At 32.3% G+C, this 22,713-nt stretch overlaps 2 long non-coding RNA genes across 2 annotated transcripts in view; one reads left to right on the forward strand and one right to left on the reverse strand.

Annotated features, from left to right (window-relative positions):
- Positions 1 to 22,713, reverse strand: part of LINC02144 (long intergenic non-protein coding RNA 2144) — a 75,109-nt gene that overhangs the window by 1,829 nt on the left and 50,567 nt on the right. Inside the window, exons 4-7 of the long non-coding RNA NR_183312.1 lie at positions 20,730 to 20,886; positions 9,814 to 9,938; positions 5,547 to 5,589; positions 4,720 to 4,779 (exon numbers count right to left, since the gene is read on the reverse strand). This is a non-coding gene — a long non-coding RNA (long intergenic non-protein coding RNA 2144). The remainder of the gene's footprint in view (positions 1 to 4,719; positions 4,780 to 5,546; positions 5,590 to 9,813; positions 9,939 to 20,729; positions 20,887 to 22,713) is intronic.
- Positions 2,246 to 19,613, forward strand: LINC02488 (long intergenic non-protein coding RNA 2488). The gene is made up of 2 exons (NR_149089.1): positions 2,246 to 2,317; positions 18,772 to 19,613. It is a non-coding gene; the product is annotated as a long intergenic non-protein coding RNA 2488 (long non-coding RNA).

A 22,713-nucleotide genomic window follows, 5' to 3' on the forward strand; every position in this document is an offset into this window, starting at 1 on the left:
CAACCATGGCCTACAGCAGTTTGGATTTGGTTTATAAATATTTTAAAGTTGTCAGAAATACCTCAGAGTTGTACAGGGCCAGAGATTAAGAGATTCAATCCAAGAAAGGGAAGGAAAAATTCCACTAATAATATCAAAAATTGGACAAAGGACGACATTAATGATACCCCTTACATTTTCCTCTGGCAGTTCATTTGAGGTGTGTGTCCAGGGCGGGGCGGGAAAGGGGGTATATTTTCTTTGAAAATAAAAATATCTTTCTGAAGGAAACCTTAGCTTTTTTGCAGCCTGAAGCATGGTCAGTGTCACTTAAATAAGCAATAATTAGTCTTGGTAAAACTTGTGTTTGAATTTTAATTTGAAAGTTGGAAAATTTTGATATTTAAAATATTGACTTTTTCAAAAAAAGGATAATTTTTATAGCAATAGAAAACCTTAATAAATGCCAAGTGTTTGCTGATTAACCTAAACATTGTTTCTCAGAAGCTTTTAGTTTAGGATTCTTTAATTAGAAACTTTAAGAAATTACTAGTCTACTTTCTATATAATAGGTTCTTAATAGAAGAAAAAGAATTGCATGATGATAAAGGAAAGTGTACTACTAGTTATACATTCATTTTATTCTGTATTTTGTATGAACAGATATGTATAAATATAATTAATTAATTAAATGAAAGAAATCACCAATAACAAAAATGGAAATTCACAGCTTCTAAAATTTTAACAACTTAATTCTTAATTTTAGATATGTTGATCACAGTGTTTCAAGTCAATTCTGAAACTTAGCAAAAGAGAATTTTAAGGAGACGTTAATTAGATTAAATAAACGCAATATATTTTATAGAAAATGTATGTATATGCACATCACTATACATCTGTTAAGATTACTGTCATGGAAAGCTAAAGAGCAACTTTACAAGAAAGGAAATTATTTGCAACCATGAAAGCTGTAATTAGGAAAGCATAAGGTGCCACAAAGAAGTCCCTCTAAATTCTTCTAGGAAAACAATGTCCAGGAATTGGATTCAGTCTTCATAGCATTTATGATAAGTGTAGCCAGCTTTGTATAGATGCTTAAAACTTTAAATATTATTTCCTAGAAGTGCTTGAAAATTCATTATGTTATCTGAGGGAGACCAAAGTCATTGTGGAATGACGATGTGAGAATTATTAGGAAACCATTGGAAAATGATAAGTACTCTTCAGTCAGTGGTAACTGCCATGGAGAATATTGCCTTATTCTTATTTTTGAAGTTTTGAATGTATGTGACAAAAAACAAAGAGATGAACAAAAGCAAACAAAAAACCCGTAAGATACATTCTAGCATTTTTAGCCATCTCTGATTCTTATTCAAGAAATAAAAGTGAAGATCCTTCTTAACAGTATAAAGCATTTTATGCCAGACATGTGTTGTATCCTTTAAATATTATGAATCTTGCCAATGTCTTTAATCGGTTCTCACATACATACGTGAGGATTCACATTTTTTCATGATTAGGACACTACATATTAGCATGCATTTCAGAGAACATTATTGTATGTGGGTTCTAAAAGTGAAAATCCTTGGAATTTAAAGTCGCATGTGGCAAAATCTTCTTGGCCAAAAGATTCAGTCAGTCTCTCATCTAATATAAAATAATCCCCATATCAAATGAAGCAGATATCTATCAATATTGAGAAAGCAACGTGCTCGACATGTTGGAGGTCTTCCATTGACACTACTTAGTAAGGTTTTACCAATGAAGAATCAGTACATAAAAGACTTAATATCGTATCACACATGGGTCTGTGTTTGGTTATTATTCTACCGACTCATTTTTATCATAATTGTTTCTTTCTTCACTATTCTATGCTTAGGAGATCTGCTAATATGAATGGCTAAAGGATAAATAAAGCTGACAAACAAACATGAAGATATCTCTTGGCATTAAGATAATTATAGATCATTACATGGTAGGAATAGCCGATAGTTCTAAAGTAATATGAGTAAATAAAACAATTTAAACCTGTACTTCACCTCAGCTTTTTAATATTTTACTATTTCTCCTTTGTTGCTTCAAAGCTATGAATTTCAAGATTTATTTGTCACTATTCTCTATATTTTCTGCTGTACACAGTATTTGTGGTCTATGGCAACCAATCCCCTTGGGCGTTCTTTTGCTTTAATTTGCATAAACACAGGCATCATATGAATATTCAGTGAGTGGCTTTGCATTAAGTAAGTGCCCTTAATCAGCTTTTCAGTTCAGTTTTATTGGTTGCACGCACAGTCAGTTATTTCATCCAGAAAATCTGAAGGCCCTACAAACTAACCAGGTAAGGATTGTAATTCCTTGATGCATTTAATGAAAGAATATTATCATTTGATTTCATAGGTTCTAGAGAATGCTAAAAACATGATGGTTTTTTTTTCCCTATGTTTTTTTCTTTCCTTGGTGGTCAGGTGGATGCATGATTCTCTAATTTGCATAAACATCAGCTCTATGAATAATTCATCAGGGTTATTTTAAACACTAGGCTTCTACTTTGGATGGCACTAGGGTACCACCATTTGATTGGCTGGATGCTGTTTTCATCACCAGCAGAATTCCTATAACATGAAAGCACCTAAAGGAGCTGAATTGAATATACAGTTTTTGTTTTTTGAAAAATATCTGTTATCTTTTCAAAGCAAATTGTGCTGCTTTTCCCCTTCCCTACCATTAGAGCTTCTAGCTTTTCATAAATACATTACAAGCTCAAATGTGGCTATTTGTAGACTTGACTGGTGTCTGTGATTTCTGGAGAATGGGGTAGCAGCTGTATTCTTCTGAACATGCATAAACATGAGCAACATGTAAATAAGAAACCATCACATGCATATGGAGCCCTGGACAGCTCCATTGCTAGGTTTCATCTATTTTCTTTATCAGAATCTTCTCTTTGAATGATAACTTTGAGACTGTTTTATCTATTTTAAAATGCCATGAACAATTATGGTACTATATATGCATATAATAAGCATATATGATCAGACAAATTATTCCTTGTTGAATATGTTATTTATAGTTTTTTCTCAGCTCACCTGCAGATTTTTAAATTTGGTAGCTCTTTGTAATACAATAGTGGCAAGAGAAGTGTTAATCAAGAATGACCAGGATAATTAATTTAAATATTAGGGTGTAATTCACTCCCATAATTTACTAAAAATAAATTGTGCTTTTCTTTATGCTTGTGGAGATGAGGAATATGGAATTTCAAGGCATTCTTTGTTAGTCTTCTCAACATCACCCATTTGCCTCTCTGGTCTCAGAGTCCTCACTGACAAGATTCTCATTGTAAACATTTGTGAAAGTGAAACATTACAGACATACAGGACAGGAGAATGGTGCAAATTGAATTTAGTCTTTGGCACATTCCATTTTTGTTTTCCCACCCCATAGAGACATATCGCACAAATAAGATGCTAAGCAATTTCTGTTATGAAAGGTGTATTAAATGTTTTGTGCAATCAATTAGTCTGTGAAATCAACTATAAAATACTCCACATTCACTGTATTTCCTATACATTGTATGGATAAAAATACCAAAGACATCTTTAATAGGGAATAAAGAAGGCTGAAATTTTTTCAGTATTTAATAGGTTTTCCACATGAAAATTTAAATGTTCCCTTTACATCAATTTTGCACTCTAATATTCTTCACTGATTTTTTGTAAATAATATGCAAATATATGAGTTACATATGATGCTAAAACTGAAGAAAAATAAAATCCTTTTACTTTTTCTTTCTAGCTTTCTATTCATCTGATGATAGAGTTGGGCTAGTTCCTATTTTCCTTTATTTGAATTATTTGTAATTAGGTGGGTCTATTTCTATTTTCTTTTCTTTTTTTTGCTATACCTTTGGAATAAAAATATTAAAGGAATAGTTCTGAGACAATACTCCTTCACTCAGGACCAATATTCATAAACACATTTGACATATTTGTTATACTGTCTGTTGTCAAATGCTCCATAATTTAAAAAATGGAGTAAGGAATTCAAAACTAACATTGTTTAAAATGAGAGGAAATTGCAAATTTCTCTCAGAATTCCATGTGACCATATTAGGAATTGTGTTTTACATGTAATTATAAATAGTAATTTAAATCTCACATCTGCAGTGTGCTATGTTTAATTAAATCTTGCAAGATTCAATATGGATGCTGTTTAATTATCAGCCATTAAATGTTTACAGCTGTAATAAACACCATGCAGTCTTTACCATTACTATATGAAGATTGTAGATTTGGAACCATTTAGCCAAAGATGCTATTTAAGTGGTGCTCATTCTATTGAATACTTTTTTAAAAACCAGCTAAATATATATATATATATATATATATATATATATATAATCTCCAATGTTTATTTCTTTCATTTGTTTCAAAATAATCCAAATTATTTTCTAAACAAGAAATAAATTATAATTTCAGAAGATAGTCCTATTATTCTGTAGATCTGTAAATATATGTCTATAATTCTATTTTATGTGTGTATAATTTTGAAAGTGAAAAATTCTCATCTAATTCTTTTTGATTGAGCAATTGTGAAATGTACAATTTCACATGATAAACTGAATTTCTTTATGTTTTTGCCATTTATATTATTTGTAGAAATCACTGAAGCTTCTTTAAAGAAAACATATTTTTAATAAAGTTGAAAACTGCAAAGCTAGTGAGTGACCAAAGAATTTACCTTCCATTTCAGTAAAGGATTCTTCCTAGAAGGGCAAGAAGCATCTTGTATTGTATAAGCCTTATTTAAAGAAAACAAAGCATTCAGTTAAATTTTAAAAAGAAATCATCACATCAATGAAATTAAAATTATAATACATTTCTAAGGAGGAAAAATAATTTATATCTTGCAAATACAGTCTTTTATTTCATGTAGTGCTTTTATATTTTTAGACATTTTTAAAAGAAAAACAGTGAGATGTTATATATATATATATATACACACACACACACACATATATATACATTCATACTGTCAATTAAAAGATATTTTCATTAACATCTATCTGACCATCCTGCATGTGGTGAACAAAAAAAATCCATACACTGTTATCTGTAATTTTGCATCCTTGTTTTAATCTTCTGATTACATTGTCAAAAAAATGTTAGTGAGGGATTTAAGCAATTAAGACAGTGTATATATCATTGCTAAATCCACTGGTAGTTAAGGAAAATTGCAACCAACCAGTGCTTTAGTCTGAAAAGGATAAAACCTAAGTTAATCTACATGGAGTGAAGTACTAAACGAGGAATATTTTGTCTGCACAAAAGTTTTGGAACTGAATGATACCTTAAGGCAAGAAATATCAATTAGCTCATATACATCCCCTAGCAAATTCACACACCTTTATGAGAGACTGTTCTCAATGAAGATAAGATAGACCCTCTTAATCTAAACTTAATCTGACTGGTGGTTGTAAGTGTATGACTTGCACACCTATTTTCAAATCCCTCCACCCAGTGGCACTCATCGCACAGGAACCCAATCATTCAGATTTGCAAACTTACTTAAAGCTTTCTTGTCATTGTTCTGAATGGATACTGTTTAAACCTAGATGGACAAAATAAGTCAGACTTAATAACCTGTGTCTGAGTTAGCCAGTTAAGTTTCTTAGCACAGAAAAGGATGAGGAGGAGGAGGGGTGTGGCTTACTTTTGAGCTTTCCTGTTCTGATTGGAGCTCCCTCTACCACTCTAATTGCTCAACTCCATTAGTTAGAACTGTATACTTAATTTTTTAATAGGGTTAAATTTTATAAAGTTATTGGGTAACTTGAATTTGTATAGCTACTCTTAAAATATGATCCTAATTATAATTAGGTTATCACCCAATCGAAATAAAAATGCTGTAAGCTTTGGTAGTGTGTTTTGTAATTAAATTTTTAATTCAGACCCCGTTTGAAATTTCCCAGTGGCATTCTGAACTTAGTGATTAGGGAAGCAAACAAGTAATATTTGGGGTTAAAATTCCATTTTAAATATTATTTTGGGTGAAAATAAACCACTTTCTGTCTCCTTTTATCATACTATTTATCAAAGGCATATATGACATATTGATAGTCTACCTGGAATGGATACTTAAAACAGAAAAACTTTTAGAAGGAATGTTTAATAAAGGAGGATCTTTTAGGATTACCATGTGTTCTTTTTGTGTTTGTTTGTATAGTGCATTAAATATACAGATTTTTAATAGTGAATTTTAAATAAATATATCCGGATTCAAATAGTATTATATATAGTATTTTTTATATTTCTACTTATAAGTGAGGCTGGTTAAAAATGGAGGCATTATATTTTTTTCATCAAGTTATGGTATCAAAATTATATTAGCCTTATAAAATGTGTTGGACAGTTTTACTTCTTCCATTTTCTCTGATACAAATTGTACATGAATTATCCATTTCTTCAAGTTTGGTATAAATTGACTATAAATCCATCTGGGCCATGTATTTTTTGGGAGGAATCTTTTTTTTTTATTCAATTTCTTAAGTGGTAGTGATCAGTTGGGTTATTTATTTCTTATTGCGTGTATTTTGATTATGTATATTTTTCTAAGAAATTTTTCTTTTCATCTAAGTTTTCAATTTCACTAACATAAACTTATTCATTGTATTTCTTATGACATAAAACTTGTACTATGTGAACAATATGTCTCCTTTTCATTTTGTATTTTATTTGTCTGTGATTTTCTATTTTCCTCCCCTTGGACTTTCTTGTAAGAGTTTTGTCTATTATCAGTCCTTTCAACGTAACAGTTTGGGGTTTTGCATCTTACTGATACTATGTCCTTGTTCTTCATTTCATTGATTTTTGATCTTTAAAGCTTTGTGGTCTTGGATTCCTTAGAGGTATCTCTAAGAATTGTACCAGATCTAAAATTCTATGATTCTATGAAAAGTTATTCGATCTTTAGAAGCCAATGGAACTCTCACATAAACATAAAAGGAAGTGGGATACTAGTTTTTATTGGGTGAATTTACTTATGTAGATATCCTCTGTCTGGAGTAATCACAACTAGAGTATTTCACATTGCTATGAGTAGACTTTAGCCTTTAAGGAAATCTACTTGGAAAGACTCTTGCAACTCATGATAATAATATGATTTAAAAAATATTTTTAGAAAGTCTATCATTTTATTTAGACAGAGGGAACTCAATCTGCAGAGTAGTATTTGGGATATGTTGTTCTCAGAATTAAAAACCAACACATTAATTGCTTAGAAAAGGTTTGTGAAAAGTTCACAATATAACATGAAATCATTTTATACTCATATAAAGGGTCACTAAATCTAGTTGGGGTTTTTTTTTTTACATTTTCTATTTTGTGAGTGGACCACTCATATAAAATTATTTCAAAATCAAGCAAAGCTAATAAAAGTTCACCAGGATTCCTTGAAAGCATTTTCTTAGTAAAATAAAATTCATGCCTTTGGTATCTTAACATTAAGTCAAGTTAAACTCTTGGTTAATAAATAGACACATACACAAATCACAGACTGAATTCTTATCTGAGTGAAGAGTTGGCTTTTGTTTGCTTGCTTATTTACTTGCCTTTTGGTGAACTGTCCTAAGATGAATTGTTTATTCATAATAGCATTTATTATTTTTCTCTTAGCCTGCTAATGTGATAAATTGTATGGACTTAACAAATGTTGTAACTGATACTACATATTGGAACTATTTGAGATTTTATGCAAACATACTTAAATAAACTGTAGGAAGAAAATGAGAACTTTTTTGAATACAGTATTTTAACAAAATGATCTGTTGTCTTTTGGAATATAGTAACTTGGAGAACTATAACATTAGACTTTTATCATCAGTTTTAACCCCTTTACCCCTCTTTGATTTATAGAACACTAGTTTGACATACTTTAGTTAATAAAGTCACTGGTTCATTTATCTGCTTAAAATGGTAATATAAATTTGAGAAGGTTGAAATAATTCTTTAAAGATTGGTATGATATACAAGTGATCCAAGATGTAGAAAATAATTTTCTCTCAAATATAAATCATACTTACTGAAAATACTTTTCTAGACATGATTATTTTTATTCCAATGTGATCAGTTTTACATTTGCTTTTTAACATGGTTTCAAGAGTAATTTTCTACTTATTCCAAGGTCTGTAAATTGTTTAGTTCAATATCTGGTTCCCAGATACTTGTATCAAAATATGTCTGAGCTTGCACCTATATTTTCACATGAAATTAGAACATTAAACCTAACTTCAAATACTCAATTCTGTGATTCTTTTTCTCTGGGAATATCCAAATTCGTTTGCCACTAATTTTAAAGTCTTCTGGTCACAGTAAGAAGAATTTTGCCTACAAACAGACTATTTTAATAAGTTATATAAAGTACCCTGGAGAGAATTTGATTTCACATAGAAAAGATAAGAAAGTCTCAATAATAGTTGCTTCTTGATACATCTGAGACAATAAATTATATTTTAAAAGTAGTAATATCAAGATTTTGAGGGTTTTTACTAATAATTAACTTACAATACTTTTGTGCAATGTGATAGGATTTTTACCTGGTGGCCGATTTGTATAACATAATGGAACAAGCTGGGAATAGACTCAAATCTCATAACAGGCCTTGCAATTATATAAGTACTCTCCTGGAAAGGCATTATCATTCTTTTTAATGTAGAATGCAACATTATTTTGCCAGTATTTATATTTCATAAATTAAACATCAAATGTCTTCTGTCTTCTAGTTCGTTCTGTGAGAAATAAATGATAAATAACTTTTTATAAGAACTGAGACTCACATGAGGCAATCTGTTGAGGGGAAGCCACAATAAAAAAATATGTTGCTACAAATACTTCTCTTTTTATGTCAAAATTTGTAGGATTTTTCTCCGTATATTATCAGAAACAGAGAGGAATCTTGCCTCAAGTATTCATCCACTTCTTCTGTTTTATTCTCCACCTTAAATGCTAATCTTAGCTTATTATACCACTATAATTCTCATTGAGACTTATTGTAATATTCCAAACAATAGATCCAAACATGAGAAGGAAAATAAGGAGAAATTGCAGGTGATGATTTAACAAAAAAAAAAAAAAAAGCAAAAAAGAAATTCATGTAAATGCTTGAATGTGAGGCAAGAGAGACAGTGAAAGAGAGAAAAGAATAAAAGAATATTACAATATGCATATGCAAAAGAATGAAGTTGAGTCCTTATTCTACACAATATACAAAAGTTAACTCAAAATGCATTGATAACCTAAATGTAACACTCCAAGCCAAAAAACTCCTAGAAGGAAACACAAATGAAAATCTTCATGACATTAGATTTGGCAATCGTTTCTTGGAAATGTACCCAAAGCATAGGCGGCAAATGCAAATATAGATAAATGGGACTATATCAAACTAAAAAACTTCTGTACAACAAAGAAAACAATCAATAGACTGAAAAGGCAACATATGAAATGCAAGAAAATGTTGGAAATCATTAATCTGAGAAGTTAGTGTCCAGAATATTTAAAGAACTCCTATAACTCAACAACAAAAAACCATCCAATTAAAAATTAGGCAAAGAACTTGAAAAGATGCTTCTCTAAGGATCATATACAAATGGTCAGCAAGCATATGAAAATATGCTCAATAGCAGTAACCATTAGAGAAATGCAGATCAAAACCACAATGAAATACTACTGTATATCCATCAGGTTGGTTAATATCAAAAGGACAGAAAATAAGTGTTGGTGAGGATGTGGAGAAATTAGAAACCTTATGCACTGTTGGTGAGATTTTAAAATAGAGCACCTGCTGTGGAAAGCAGTATGGTGGTTCCTGAAGAAATTAAAGTTATAACTTCATATTACACAGTAGTCACACTTCTGGATATACAGTGGTCTCTTGGTATCTGTGGGAGACGGCTTCCAGGACTTCTAGAGAAAATCAAAATTTATGAACGTTCAAGTCCTTGATATAAAATAGCACAGTATTTGCATATAACCCATCACATCCTCCCATATACATTAAATCATCTCTAGATTACTTCTAATACCCAATATAATGTAAATGGTTATTATACTATATCATTTAGGGAATAATGACAAGAAAAAAATGTCTGTACACATTCAGTGGAGGTGCAATATTTGTTTCCAAACACTTTGATCCATGGTTGATTGAATCCACAGATGGAAAACCCATGGATATAGGGGGCCAACTAAGTATCTAAAAAAATTTAAAGCAAGATCTCAAAGAGACATTTGCATATTCATGTTCATGGCAACATTATTCACAATAATCAAGAGGTGGGAACACACAAGTGTCCATCACTGGATGAGTGGCTAAACAATATGTGTCTATACACACAATAAAATATTATTTAGCCTTAAAAAGGAAGGATATTCTTTCACATACTACAACATGAATGAACTGTGAGGGCATTATGCTAAGTGAAATAAGACTGTCACAAAAGGATAAATACCAGATGATTCCATTTATACAAGGCATTGGCAGTAGTTAAACTCACAAAACAGAATGGTGGTTGCCAGAAGCTGGGAGGAAGGAGAAATGGGGAATTGTTCAATGGGTATAGAGCTTCAGTTTTGCAACATGGAAAAATTCTACAGGTAATTGCACAATGTGAATATTCTTAACACTACTGAACTGTACACTTTAAAATGGTAAATTTTCTCTTATGATTTTTTGTACTACAATAAAAAAATTTAAAAGAACGTTGCATAATTCAATATGCACTAAGAAATATAGATGATTTTGCCAAACTTTTCACTATTAAGAAAATTGATTTAAAGTGAATTTAAAAATATATCTCCACAAATTTTTGAAAGAATAGTGTAATGCCAAAGTATTTTTATAGTGAAAGTCAGTAACATACACAAACTTAGAGTTTGAAAAATCTGGATAATTGTTACATTATATTGAACAAACAGGCAATTTGGCAAACCAAAAAAATGTTCATTTCATTCTAAATGTTATCTACTTATATTAGCTTTTGAGAGACTTAGAGCACATTTATATTTTATTTTATATCCTGATTAGAATTTTTATCATTTTATGCTTCTAGTATTTTAAATTATACAACTGTACATCTAGCTCTTTATCCATCCATCCACCCACCATGCAGTCATGTGTGTAATATTTATAATATATAATTTTCCTCCTTTTTCTTCCCTCTACATTGTAATACCTGTGAATTATTACCATTGCTATGTATCTCCAAATATCTTAATTTTCTAAGAACTTAAAGAATGATGAAAGAAGATTCGTTACAATTTTTAAGAATTATCATAATACTTGATGATACTGTGAGGCAAATCTTGTACTTTTTTATCTGTTTATAAAATCTCTGAAATGATAAGGGACAGCAAACTTTACTCTTACCCTTTTCTTAAACTAAATGAAAAGGGAGCTGGATCATGATTCACAATAGATGATCTTCTCACTCACTAATAACAACTATTGCGTTTGCCATTCTTCACACCAGTTGCTGTGTCAGGACAACCACATATTTTGTACAGCGCTCTCTAGCACGTGTTTTGAAATTTATCCTCCAGAGACCATCTGCTATAAATGGGCTGCAGTGCAGTTAATGAATATTTTATTGCTTTCTCTCCTTTTTCTGATCTAGAATGGAAACCATGGGGAAAATGTGAAGTGTCAAATTGACAGAGATGTTTCATTGATCCACTCATTCTCCGAAAGTGTTTTGTTAAGTATATGTGTGTATTTTATGTAATCAATTTACTAATGCAGATACACATCAGGGAAAACATGAAAGACTCAATATTAATGTGTCTAATTTTTAAGCATAATTTCTGCCATTATGAGTGCATCACTTTTTATTAACTTGAAATAAAATAGCCATTGACTGGAAGAATGAATCTAACAGGTCATACGTTCTCTAGAAAGTCAACTGTTATGAGAAAATCTGTAGTGAAATTATTCACCACCACCATATTTCTGTTGTCACTAAAAGATCATCTTTGCCTTGTGCTCCTGTGAAATAGTGCTAAATTTCTCAGATTGTTATTTGTCTACCACAGAATGAATGAGAGGTCCAGGTCAAATTTGGGGCATTACCCTTCCAAGTTCCTTCTTTCTGGGATAATTAATGAAATAACTCTGTTACTATTAGTGAATCGGTGTCTTGCAACATCACCCCTTTGCACTCCAGCAACTTCATATACGTTTTCTATGGTTTTAAAACACATCAGCTAAAATATCATGTGAAATCTGACAAGTTTATATTGCTCTGGCCAAGTGGTGCAATTAAAGGAGAACACTTATTGAAGATCTAGTATGTGTCCAATATCGTGTTAAACATTTTAGATGTATCATCTCATTTTATCCTCACAACCACACTAATATGTATGTACTTATGATTCACAGTATGTGCTCATGGTTCACAGCTGCATACCTCTCCAGGAATTCCCCCAGCTGAAGGTAGCTCCCTCACTTGATGGTAGAATAAAGGAAGAGAACAGCGAGGAGTTCAAAATGACTGAAGAGATGTGCCAGGAACTGGAGTCATGCCAAACAGCTGAAGTGTTATTCCTTAGGCCATTGTACTTAGGATTAAGTAATATATATATAAGTTGACATAAAATGTAGGTATGATCTACATTTTATAATTGTGGAAGTTCAAGTTAAGAAAGGCCAAACAACTTATTCAAGGCCGCACATCTACTAAGTTGAAAGTTGGGTTAGTCTAATGCAAAGGCCTATACACTTTATAGTATATCATGTGGACCCCAGGTTAATATTGATAGCCCTTTACATTATGAATTAAATTAGAATTATGGTAGATAAGTTCATTGCATTTCTAAAATAAAAGTAGAAACTGAAAGAAAAATTTGAGTTCTTATTATATAATGAACACTATGCAAGTTTTCCAAATGCTTTCAAATGTTTTCTGCTGAAACCTTAAGATAAAATTAGATAATTTCTACAGATAAATGTGATACATATGGTTAGAATTCTGAACTCTAGACTTCATTTCTAGTTAATATAGTACATATTTTTCTCAATTAAGGTGGATAATTCATTCTTTTAACCTCATATAAACATTATAATTATGTAGGTTTTGCTTTTAGATGGATTAAATGATTTTTTTGTTGACAAATCAATCTATTTACTCATCAAATATTTGCTGAGTATATACTATATGCCAGGCACCCTTCTAGGTGTGGGAGTTGAGCAATGAATGAGAAATATATGTGCCTATGAATTTCTAGTCTACTGATTTTCATCTCTGGAACAAACTCACACACTACATTGAAATACATTAAAGTTATAGACAATATGCCTATTCAATAACTGTTTTCTGCCATTAGTTTGATTCAAGTTGTCGACATGATCAAAACATCAAACCTGGGGTACATGAACTTAAAGTATAATAATAATAAAAATACATTCTAAAAAAATCGAACCTAAGGTATATTTTAATCTACTTATTGGTAAAAACAATTCCTTCATTTTTTTTTAGTCTCAAGAATTGAGTAGAAACAAAGCCGAGACAGGCATTTAGTTAAAACAGTAATCTTACCTCTTTCAGTCAACAAATAGCATAAATAGCAAATTCTTAAATGAAGTAAGTGGTGGTGTTGCTGAATCTTGTTTAATGAGTTTTTGGTAATCACGTCTCTTATGTTCCTTTGCTTTCTTATCTCTATTTCTGTATCTAATGCCTAAGTCGTTTAGTTTACATGGATCTCATTATCTCTCAGCATCTTTACATTCACCCTTTTTCATATTTATTTTCACTCATTGACCTTGCTTTTTCCGTTTCTCCATTATTTCCTTGCTTCTGAATTGATGGCATAAAAAGATTCAAATCCATTGTATATGTGAAGGTGTCTAGTACGTGTAGTTACAATGCTATGATATAGTACTGTGATGTTTCAGCATATATGTTGAGCCATTACAAATTTTGTTCAGGTCTTAAAATTCATTATTATGAATATATGAATTTTCTTTATTTTCTTATTACTTGAACAGAATTTAAAAGATAGAAAAATATAGAGAATAAGGGTGAAATTCCCCCACAAAATGCAAATATGCCCATATAAAAATTTTTCCCAGTAAAAAGTGGACAGACCAGAAACAAAAAGGGGAAAAATAAGTAATATTCACAAAAGCTAATGTAGGTGCTTCTTCTTTAATTTACACACAAGTGGGCATAAAAATTGAAAAACAATTGTTAGGTAGAAAGTAGACTTTTTAAACCTTTGCTGCTGGTGGGTAATTGACACAGGAAGGGAGCTTTGAGCAAAGACTTTTGGGTACAAGAGACGGAGCTGTTTTCTTCCTGTCAAAGCCACTACATCAAAGAGAATGTGTTTAAACATTTTCCCTAGTAGTTGACTTACTTTCAGAATTGGAAAACTTAGCCTGAAATTGAAATTACAGTATTTGCCTATATATGTGCATTAGAAAATAGAAATAGACCTAGAAATAGCCTGTGATATAGAATTACAATTGGTGAATACTCTGCACTTTTAAAATCAAAACTTTGAACAATATGCTATTAGCCTATTGAGATTCACACAGGGAAGCAGATAATTGACATGAATTAGGACATAGTTGATGTTGATTTAGTGACATCACCAGATGATAAAAGAAGTGGCCGACACAGGAACAATGGCAAAGATATGCTGCATAGCTACACCACAGTTAAAGTACAGACAAATATTGTAAAATTATTTATTTATATATTAATTTATTGGGATTGCATAATTTATTGAAAATCTGGGCACTATGATAGATGTGAGGAATATAACAGTGAACGAAACAAATACAAACAAAAAAATATATAGTGGTATATACACTGGATAGTGGTAGTACACACTGCCTACCCAGTACCTACTCTTCCCTTTCCCTTAGTAAAAACAAAAAACAAAACCCAAAAAACTCTATACTATTGGGACCACTAAAGTGCTCAGATAATAATGACACTTTCCATCCTCCCTTTCAAATAGACGTGGCCAGTGAAATGTAAGTAGAAGCCAATGGATGAGTTTTTCAAGAAAGTTATTCAGCTGGGAGGTATATTCCTCTGCACCTGCTCCTTTCTCCTTTCTCCTATCCAGAATATGAATATAATGCCTGGAGCTGAAGCAGCCATTTTGAGATCAAGAGACAACTGGAAGATAGAAACAATATTTGAAAATGTAGTGCAGAAAAAATGGAGGCTGGTTCTCTGGCAAATTCTCAGAGTAATTGTAGAAGTTCAGAAAAAACTCATCTCTGAATTCCTTCCGCATGAAAAATAAAATCATTTATTCATCTTGCTGAAGCTATTATTACTTGGGTTTTGAAAGATATGAAGCTCTTTCTAATCTTGACAGATTCCTACATAATAGAGAAAATACATTACTTCTAACACAAACATGAATTTATATACATATTGAAATGTTATTCCAGATAAGGATTTGGTTATTTCCAACCAAATCCTCCATGTAACCCTACCACCACTCCAGGCTTACAAAGCCCTCAGTTGAAAGACTGCTTTCCTAAGAAAATATTTAAAGTATTTTAAGAAAAGTTGTCTAACCAGAGAACCTGGTCAATCATTCTAAGCAGTTTTTGGTGTTCAGGATGGATGAACTAGCCAAGAGCCTCTCACCCAATAAATTCCAAGGTAAACTGCTCTTGTGTTATGCTTTCTCTTGTGTCTGCTTTGCTTTCAACTTCACCATTTTCTAAATTTTCATAACACATCCTTTATATCAAAATTAATTGTTGAATTAACTAACTTTAATAATTTTATCTCTTCAGTAGAATTACCCTTGCAACAAGAACACTGTTTCCTCATACTAGGTTAGTGGCCATGCTCAGACTAGGACAGGCTACTCAGTTATTAACTAGATGACTCCATGATCCACGGATCCTTGTTCAGTGACTAAAACATGGTCTTGCCATTTTTATAGGAATATTTTAAGTTTTTTAGTGTTTCTATCTGTATGTCTTATAAGCTAAATATGTTTTATGACAACATTTAAGAGTTTCATCTTTTGTTGCAATTTACAGAAGTATTTTTAGAAGGGTGTCTTTAGAGGAGATCTTAGTGATATATTTAGTAACATTACTCAACGTGTTGCTTTTTCATTCTTTCATTTAACAGATCTTTCTTGTACTCTCTATGTAGCAGGCACTAATCTAAATTGGAGGGGAGAAAGGGGCAGACAGGACAGGAGTGAGTGAGGCAAAGTCTACCCCACAAAATGTCTACACCACAAAAAGTCTATGCCACAAAAAATTCACATTCTAATTGGGAAAGCAGACTATAAACAAGTATGCAAATGCATAATATACATAGTAAGAATACATAGTAATACATAATATACATATTAGGAATAAAATGTGTACAAAGAATAAATAGTAAGAATAAAACATTCTGGTAAGAAATTAAAGTAGGATAGGAGGGGAGAGAACACTGGGATGAGAATTAGTTTGATGTGAAAGGTAGCAAAGCCAGCAACATAAAGATCTGGAAAAAAATGGATTCCAAGGCCTGAATTAGAAATAAGAGGGGTTTATTTCAGAAATAGACAGAAGGCTAGTATAGTGAGGACCGTGAGTGAGGCAGAATGGTAGGAGAGGAGCGCCCAGAGGGAAACAGGTGGTGCAGGACCTTGGAGCTGAAAATGAGAATTGGATTTTGCTCCAAGGGTAATTATAAGTTACTGGAAAGTTTAATCAGGGTAATGCATTATCAGAATTATTAATATGAATTAAATTGTTCTTCTGGCTACTGGGTAAAGGGGAAAATATTTGTGAGCCTGAGTAGAAACTGGGAGACCAGGTAAGAGAGGAAGAATGTAGTTCAGGTGAGAAATAATGTACATTGGACTAGGAGGGTAACAGTGAGGAGTGAAAAGGGAAAATTCAGAAAATATTCAGCAAGTAGAACTGACAAGACTTGCTGATGCAGTGGGTATGAGGTTGGCAGTGTTTAGTCCAGGGTCAACATACAGAGCAGATGAAATCCCAGAGAGACAACCTTAACACACTGAGGTATTGAATAAAATATTTTTGTTTTATCCTGAGAAAATGCAACTTTCCTTAAAAGAGCTGGCCTTTCAACAGGATGACCTGTCAGAGGATAAAGGGAGTCACAGAATCCTTTGTGAAGAATTTTTAGCTAATAATTCTTTTAAGTGGCTAATCAAGAAGTGGAGACAGAAAAAACAAAAGATGATAATTTCGTAATAAATACTATTTTATGAACAGTGTAAATGATCTGATTTCTAAATCACAAATGTTTAAGATTTCTTTTTTTATTTTGTCTCAGACTTTCACTTTGTCCCTGAACAAAAAAAAAATTGACAATTTAAAAATTTATAAGACTAGATTGGTTAAGTTGAAAGTATTCTCTTAGAGTAGGATGCGAGCTATATTTTATTTGAATTATCAGGTACTATCAGCAATGTAGACATTTGGAGAAAGAAGTGCATATCAGAAAATTGACAGCTTTGTGGATGGCTTGAAAGGTAGGAATAAGATATATTTTTTAAAAATACCAGAGAAAAGGAATGAAGCTTCCCAAATGCAGAGAACTTGGTGATTAAGCACATTGTCAATAGAGTCTGACAGTAGGTATGCAATAAGAGTTTGGGTATTTCCTACAAAGATGCTATTGCGCCAGGGAGATAAACACACATCCACCAATTTTCTCTTGGGTTTGATGAGTTTGCCCCAGTTCTTCCACAGTCAACAAGACTAGGATTTAATGGTATTATTGTTGATTTTACTGATTTTACTGGGAACATTTATCTGGAATATGGTGGGTTTGTAACAGATCACAGAGGGAGGAGATTCAGTATGTGATTGATAGATAAGCAGATAGATAGACACTGAAACAGCTGTGGCTAGGTTGTTGTAGGCAAATGGAAACTGAAAATATTTAATGTGCCACTAAATAAAATTTGTTTTTTACATGATAGCTTTTAGACATTCTTTGTAATTTTAGAAATTAAAGGCCAAAAAGAAACTGATGAATACATGGGGTTAAAAGCTTATTTGAAAACACTAAAATTTTAGCTCTCAATTCCTATTAAAAATCTCAGTGTAGGAAACTTCTAAAAATGAAGCATGATCAAAGAGCATGAGCAATAAAAGTTTTTGTCAGAGAAAGCTTGACTTTCCTAACTTAAGCTAGACTGTCAGGTTCACCAGGAGCAATAGTGTAACTCATAGTTGGAACTTGAATTTATCAAGTAGGGACTATGCATTAAAATAATTTCATTTAGTGTTCAAGCAACCCTAAGATGTGGTTATTATTGTAGACATTTCACAAGATAAGGAAGGAAAATATTATCTGGAAGTGAAGTGGTGGAAGTATGATGCAAACTCATACTCTTTTCATGAAATTTCTACATCTTTCTCTCAGTAAGTCTCTTTGTTAGCAGTAGGGAATCTTCCATTAGTTAGAAAGAAATGACTAAGAGGCAGATTTCAGCTCCGAAGGTAAAAGGAAGCACTGTCTGCCCATTAAACACTCTCAAATAAAATGAACTTTCCCAGAAGGTATTGAGATCTCATGTCTATGATTATATTCTGTAATCATGATGAAATAAATGATTAAGAATGGGATTTTATTAATAAATTCAACTTATTATAAAAAAGGAGTAAGGTAAGTAGATGTCACTGATAATAGCATCCAAGGAAGATCAGGAAAGTTCAGACCCTAACCCCTTCACCTCTGTGCAGAGACCTGAAAATCATCACTGTTCATCTTCCATTGCCTTGCAGAACAGTAAGGGTTGAAACTGAAGGCCGATTGTGAATACTATCCACCGGGAGCTTCTTATGAATTGACTCATGTTCCTCAGATAATAAATAACACTAAAAGACACCAGTTAGCTTCTGACCTCAAGGAGTGCTACTTTCATCTCCTGCAAGCTTTGAAAAGGGATCTGATACCTGACAACATCTTGACAAAAGCACATCCCATCTTCTGATGGAAGCTGAACCAAAATTATTGATGTCGCTAGTGATTCAGGGTACTCTAGATTGTTTGGAGTCCTATATAAATACATTTAATAGACAAAAAAATTGCTGCCTTAATCTAAGCAGAAATGACCTTAGTAGATAGATACTGCTTACCCCACTGATGCATTAGAGCTATACTAGTTCTACTCCTAATTCTTGAGAAGCTGTGTTTTCTCTAATTTATTTCCTTTTTGATCTTCACCTATAGTTTTGCTAGGCTTATTTGTAACTTCTGTATCCATAAATAAATAATCGCTGTGGCTTTAGCATTAAATAATATCTATCTATTTAATATTTTGAGTCATCATTTTTATTGTGGCTAATGATAATGACTGGGAATTAACAGAAAGGTGACAGATTTCTAAAGATGCCTTTGAAAAATGGCTATTTGCCTCTGTCCTCTCACCTTTGAAAATAAACTGTATTTTTTAATCTTTGTTATCAATGAATATTATAAGATCTGAACACTGTTATGCTAATATATATGTGTGCATCTATCATAAGAAATATAGAAAATATTTATTACAACTATTGGCAAGAATGTGGAGTAACTGGAACTCTCTTACACTGCTGGTTGGAAAATAAAATGTTTTAAATACTTTGATGAATAGTTTGGTAGTGTCTTAAATTTTTAGATACACATCTACCAAATAATCTGTTATTCCATCCTTAACTATTTGTCCAGGAGAAATAAATATAATTTTCCATCCAAGATTTGTATGAAAAAGTTCATATTAGCTTTATTTGTAATAACCCCAAACTGGAAACAACACAAACGCCCAAATACAGGTGAACAGTTAAAAAAAATGTGTTCTATCCATACAATGGAATACTATTCAGCAATTAAAAGGAATGAATTATTGATGCAGACTACCATGTAGATGAATCTCAAAATTATTATACTGGTAAAAGAAGTACACACTGAGTGATTATATTAATTTAAAGTTCTTTAAGAAGGCAAACTAGTCTATAGTGACAGAAGCAGATCAGTGGTTGCCTGGGGAGCCAGCTGGAAGGGGAGGATGGGCATGGGAAAAGGAGGGATTATTAAGGGACAAGAGGAAATTTTGAGGGTTGACAGATTGGTTCACTATATTGCTTTTGGCAAAGCTTCTCTGACAAATATTTATTTCAAAACTTACATTGCGTTTTCAATACATGCACTTCATTTTATGTCAATTTTATCTCAATAAAGTTGTTTTAAAACTATACTACATAAGTGAGGTGCTTGTTTTTGAAGAAAAATATTTATACTTAAGTCAAAGGTCATAATTACATTTATGAAATTTGATTAATATTTTGTTAATATATTCAGAAGGAAGACTAGTCACTTTAAAAAAATACGCAAAATGCCAAACAACAGTCACAACAGAATATGTGTCATCCTGACAATACCTTCTGGTCTGTCCCCAGTGAGAAAATTTTGGTTATAGAATTCATACAAGTCTTTTCAAAGAGCTGGTGTTGGAGATGTTGAAATAAAAGAAAAAAACCCTATGCATAACCTGTATTACAATGGATATCATATTTGGTCTATGTTTAGCTCCATTTTGGTTCCAACTAACAAAAAGGAAAATGAATTTTCAAATAGAAACGAACCTTCTTTATAATGGAATCTGAATCTGCTACTCTGTTATTGCTGTTTGCAATGAACCATTACCTAAGTCCCAATCATGTATCATGTAGTGATATTAGTAGTCACTCTGGATAGTACCCACCTCATGGAAATGATAGAATTGGAGTCTAGAAAACGTCTTTATTTCATGCTTCTCAACTGTGCTGTACTTCAGTGTGAAGAAACTCTTTTTTGTTCAGTACCAATATTGCCTTCTCCTGGTAGTAGCCTCAGTACTACTGTATATCTTTCTATTTACTCTAAAGGTAAAAACAAAACAAAACAAAACCCTTTCATTTATTTGCATTCCTGCTATTTCTTGTCATCTAAGAATTGTACTATATCACCCAGGTTCAGTTCTAATCGGATGCAGTAATACTTGCTGTTATAGTACAGAGTGAAAGGAGCTGCTGTCTGTAGGCTAGTATTTAGTTGTAGTTCTCCCTTGTATTGTAAGGTCCTCCTTTGTTGCAGGCATTTACTATTTTCAAACAGAAATTCAGTAAAGAGTTTCAAGTCTTCATGATACTTTGATACCTCACTGAGTAGCAGTGTGATATAGGTGGGATTAAACATCCAGATCCTGTCTGTGAAAAAGGATCTTTCTTCCAGGCATTAAAAAAGGCATTTCAGGTCAATTGATAATGACTTAACAACTCTGGGTACCCCCAGGAACCTCACCGTTTAATAACTTACTCAGAAGAGACAGAGTATATCCAAAAGGTTAAAAACACAAACTTAAGGGCAGCTAGGGCTGGCTTTCTGGGTGTGCAACCTGTGCTTATAAGGATCCTGTTCTGTTTAAGGTTCTGTTGTCACTGTCTTGAAACTCTTAATGATTTTTGAACAAGAGGTTCCACATTTTCATTTTTCACTGGGTCTGACAAACTAGGTAGCCAGTCTTACTTATGGCTCAATGCATAAATTGTGTGACCTTCTAAGAACAGGTTTCCTCATCCATAAAATGAAGATACTGTTGTACCTACCTCCCAGGATTGTTCTTAGGAGCATGTAAGAAAAAATTTAGCTCAATGTCTGACACATAGTAAATACTGAATAAATATTGGCTATTATCTTTGTTGTTATTGAATCATCAGGTTCATTTCTACGTGCTGTTTTAAAATGCCTATAAAACAGAAAATTTTACTTCAAAGATGTATATTAAATTTTGTAATGTATATTGGTGTGTTAACTTTTAAAATGTACATGTAAATATTATAATTTTAAAATAGGTTATGTATATTAGTGACTTACATGCCATTTGCATGAATTTCCTCAGTAGAATTAAGTTTAAATTACACTGAATTACTGAATCCCATATTTCAGAATGATCGATGATGAAGAATACTTTAGGGTTCTCCTCACCTTGACTGAACTTCAGACAGGTTTCTTCTTGACTATAGGCTCCTGATCTTTTTATTAGAGCATTTACTTTAGATAATCTGCAATTATGTTCTTTTTCTTTATCCAATCCACTGTTGATGGGTTGATTCCATGTCTTTGCTATTGTGATAGTGCTGCACCAATCGTGACTATGTGTGCCTTTTTGGTAGACGATTTATATTTCTTTGAGTATACACCCAGTAACTGGGTTGCTGGGTTGAATGGTAGTTCTATTTTTAGCTCTTTGAGAAATCTCCAAACGGCTTTCCACAGGGGCTGAACTAATTTGCATTTCCACTAACGGTGGCTAAGCCTTCCCTTTTCTTCACAACTGTCCCAACATCTATTATTTTTTTTACTTTTTAATAATGACCATTTTGACTGGTGTGAGATGGTCTCTTATTGTGGTTTTGAATTGCATCTCTCTGATGATTAGTAATGTTGAACATTTGTTCATGTGTATGTTGGCCACTTGTATATCTTTTTTTGAGAGGTGTCTGTTCATATCCTTTGCCCATTTTTTAATCTGGTTATTTGGTTTTTGCTTGTTGATTTACCATTTGACCCAGCAATCCCATTACTGGGTGTATACTCAAAGAAAAATAAAACATTCTACCAAAAGACACCTGCACTTGGATGTTCATTGCCATGCTATTCACAATAGCAAAGACATGGAATCAACTAAGGTGCCCATCAGTGGTGGA

Source organism: Homo sapiens, chromosome 5 (assembly GCF_000001405.40).
Source record: "Homo sapiens chromosome 5, GRCh38.p14 Primary Assembly".
Classification (NCBI taxonomy): Eukaryota; Metazoa; Chordata; class Mammalia; order Primates; family Hominidae; genus Homo; species Homo sapiens.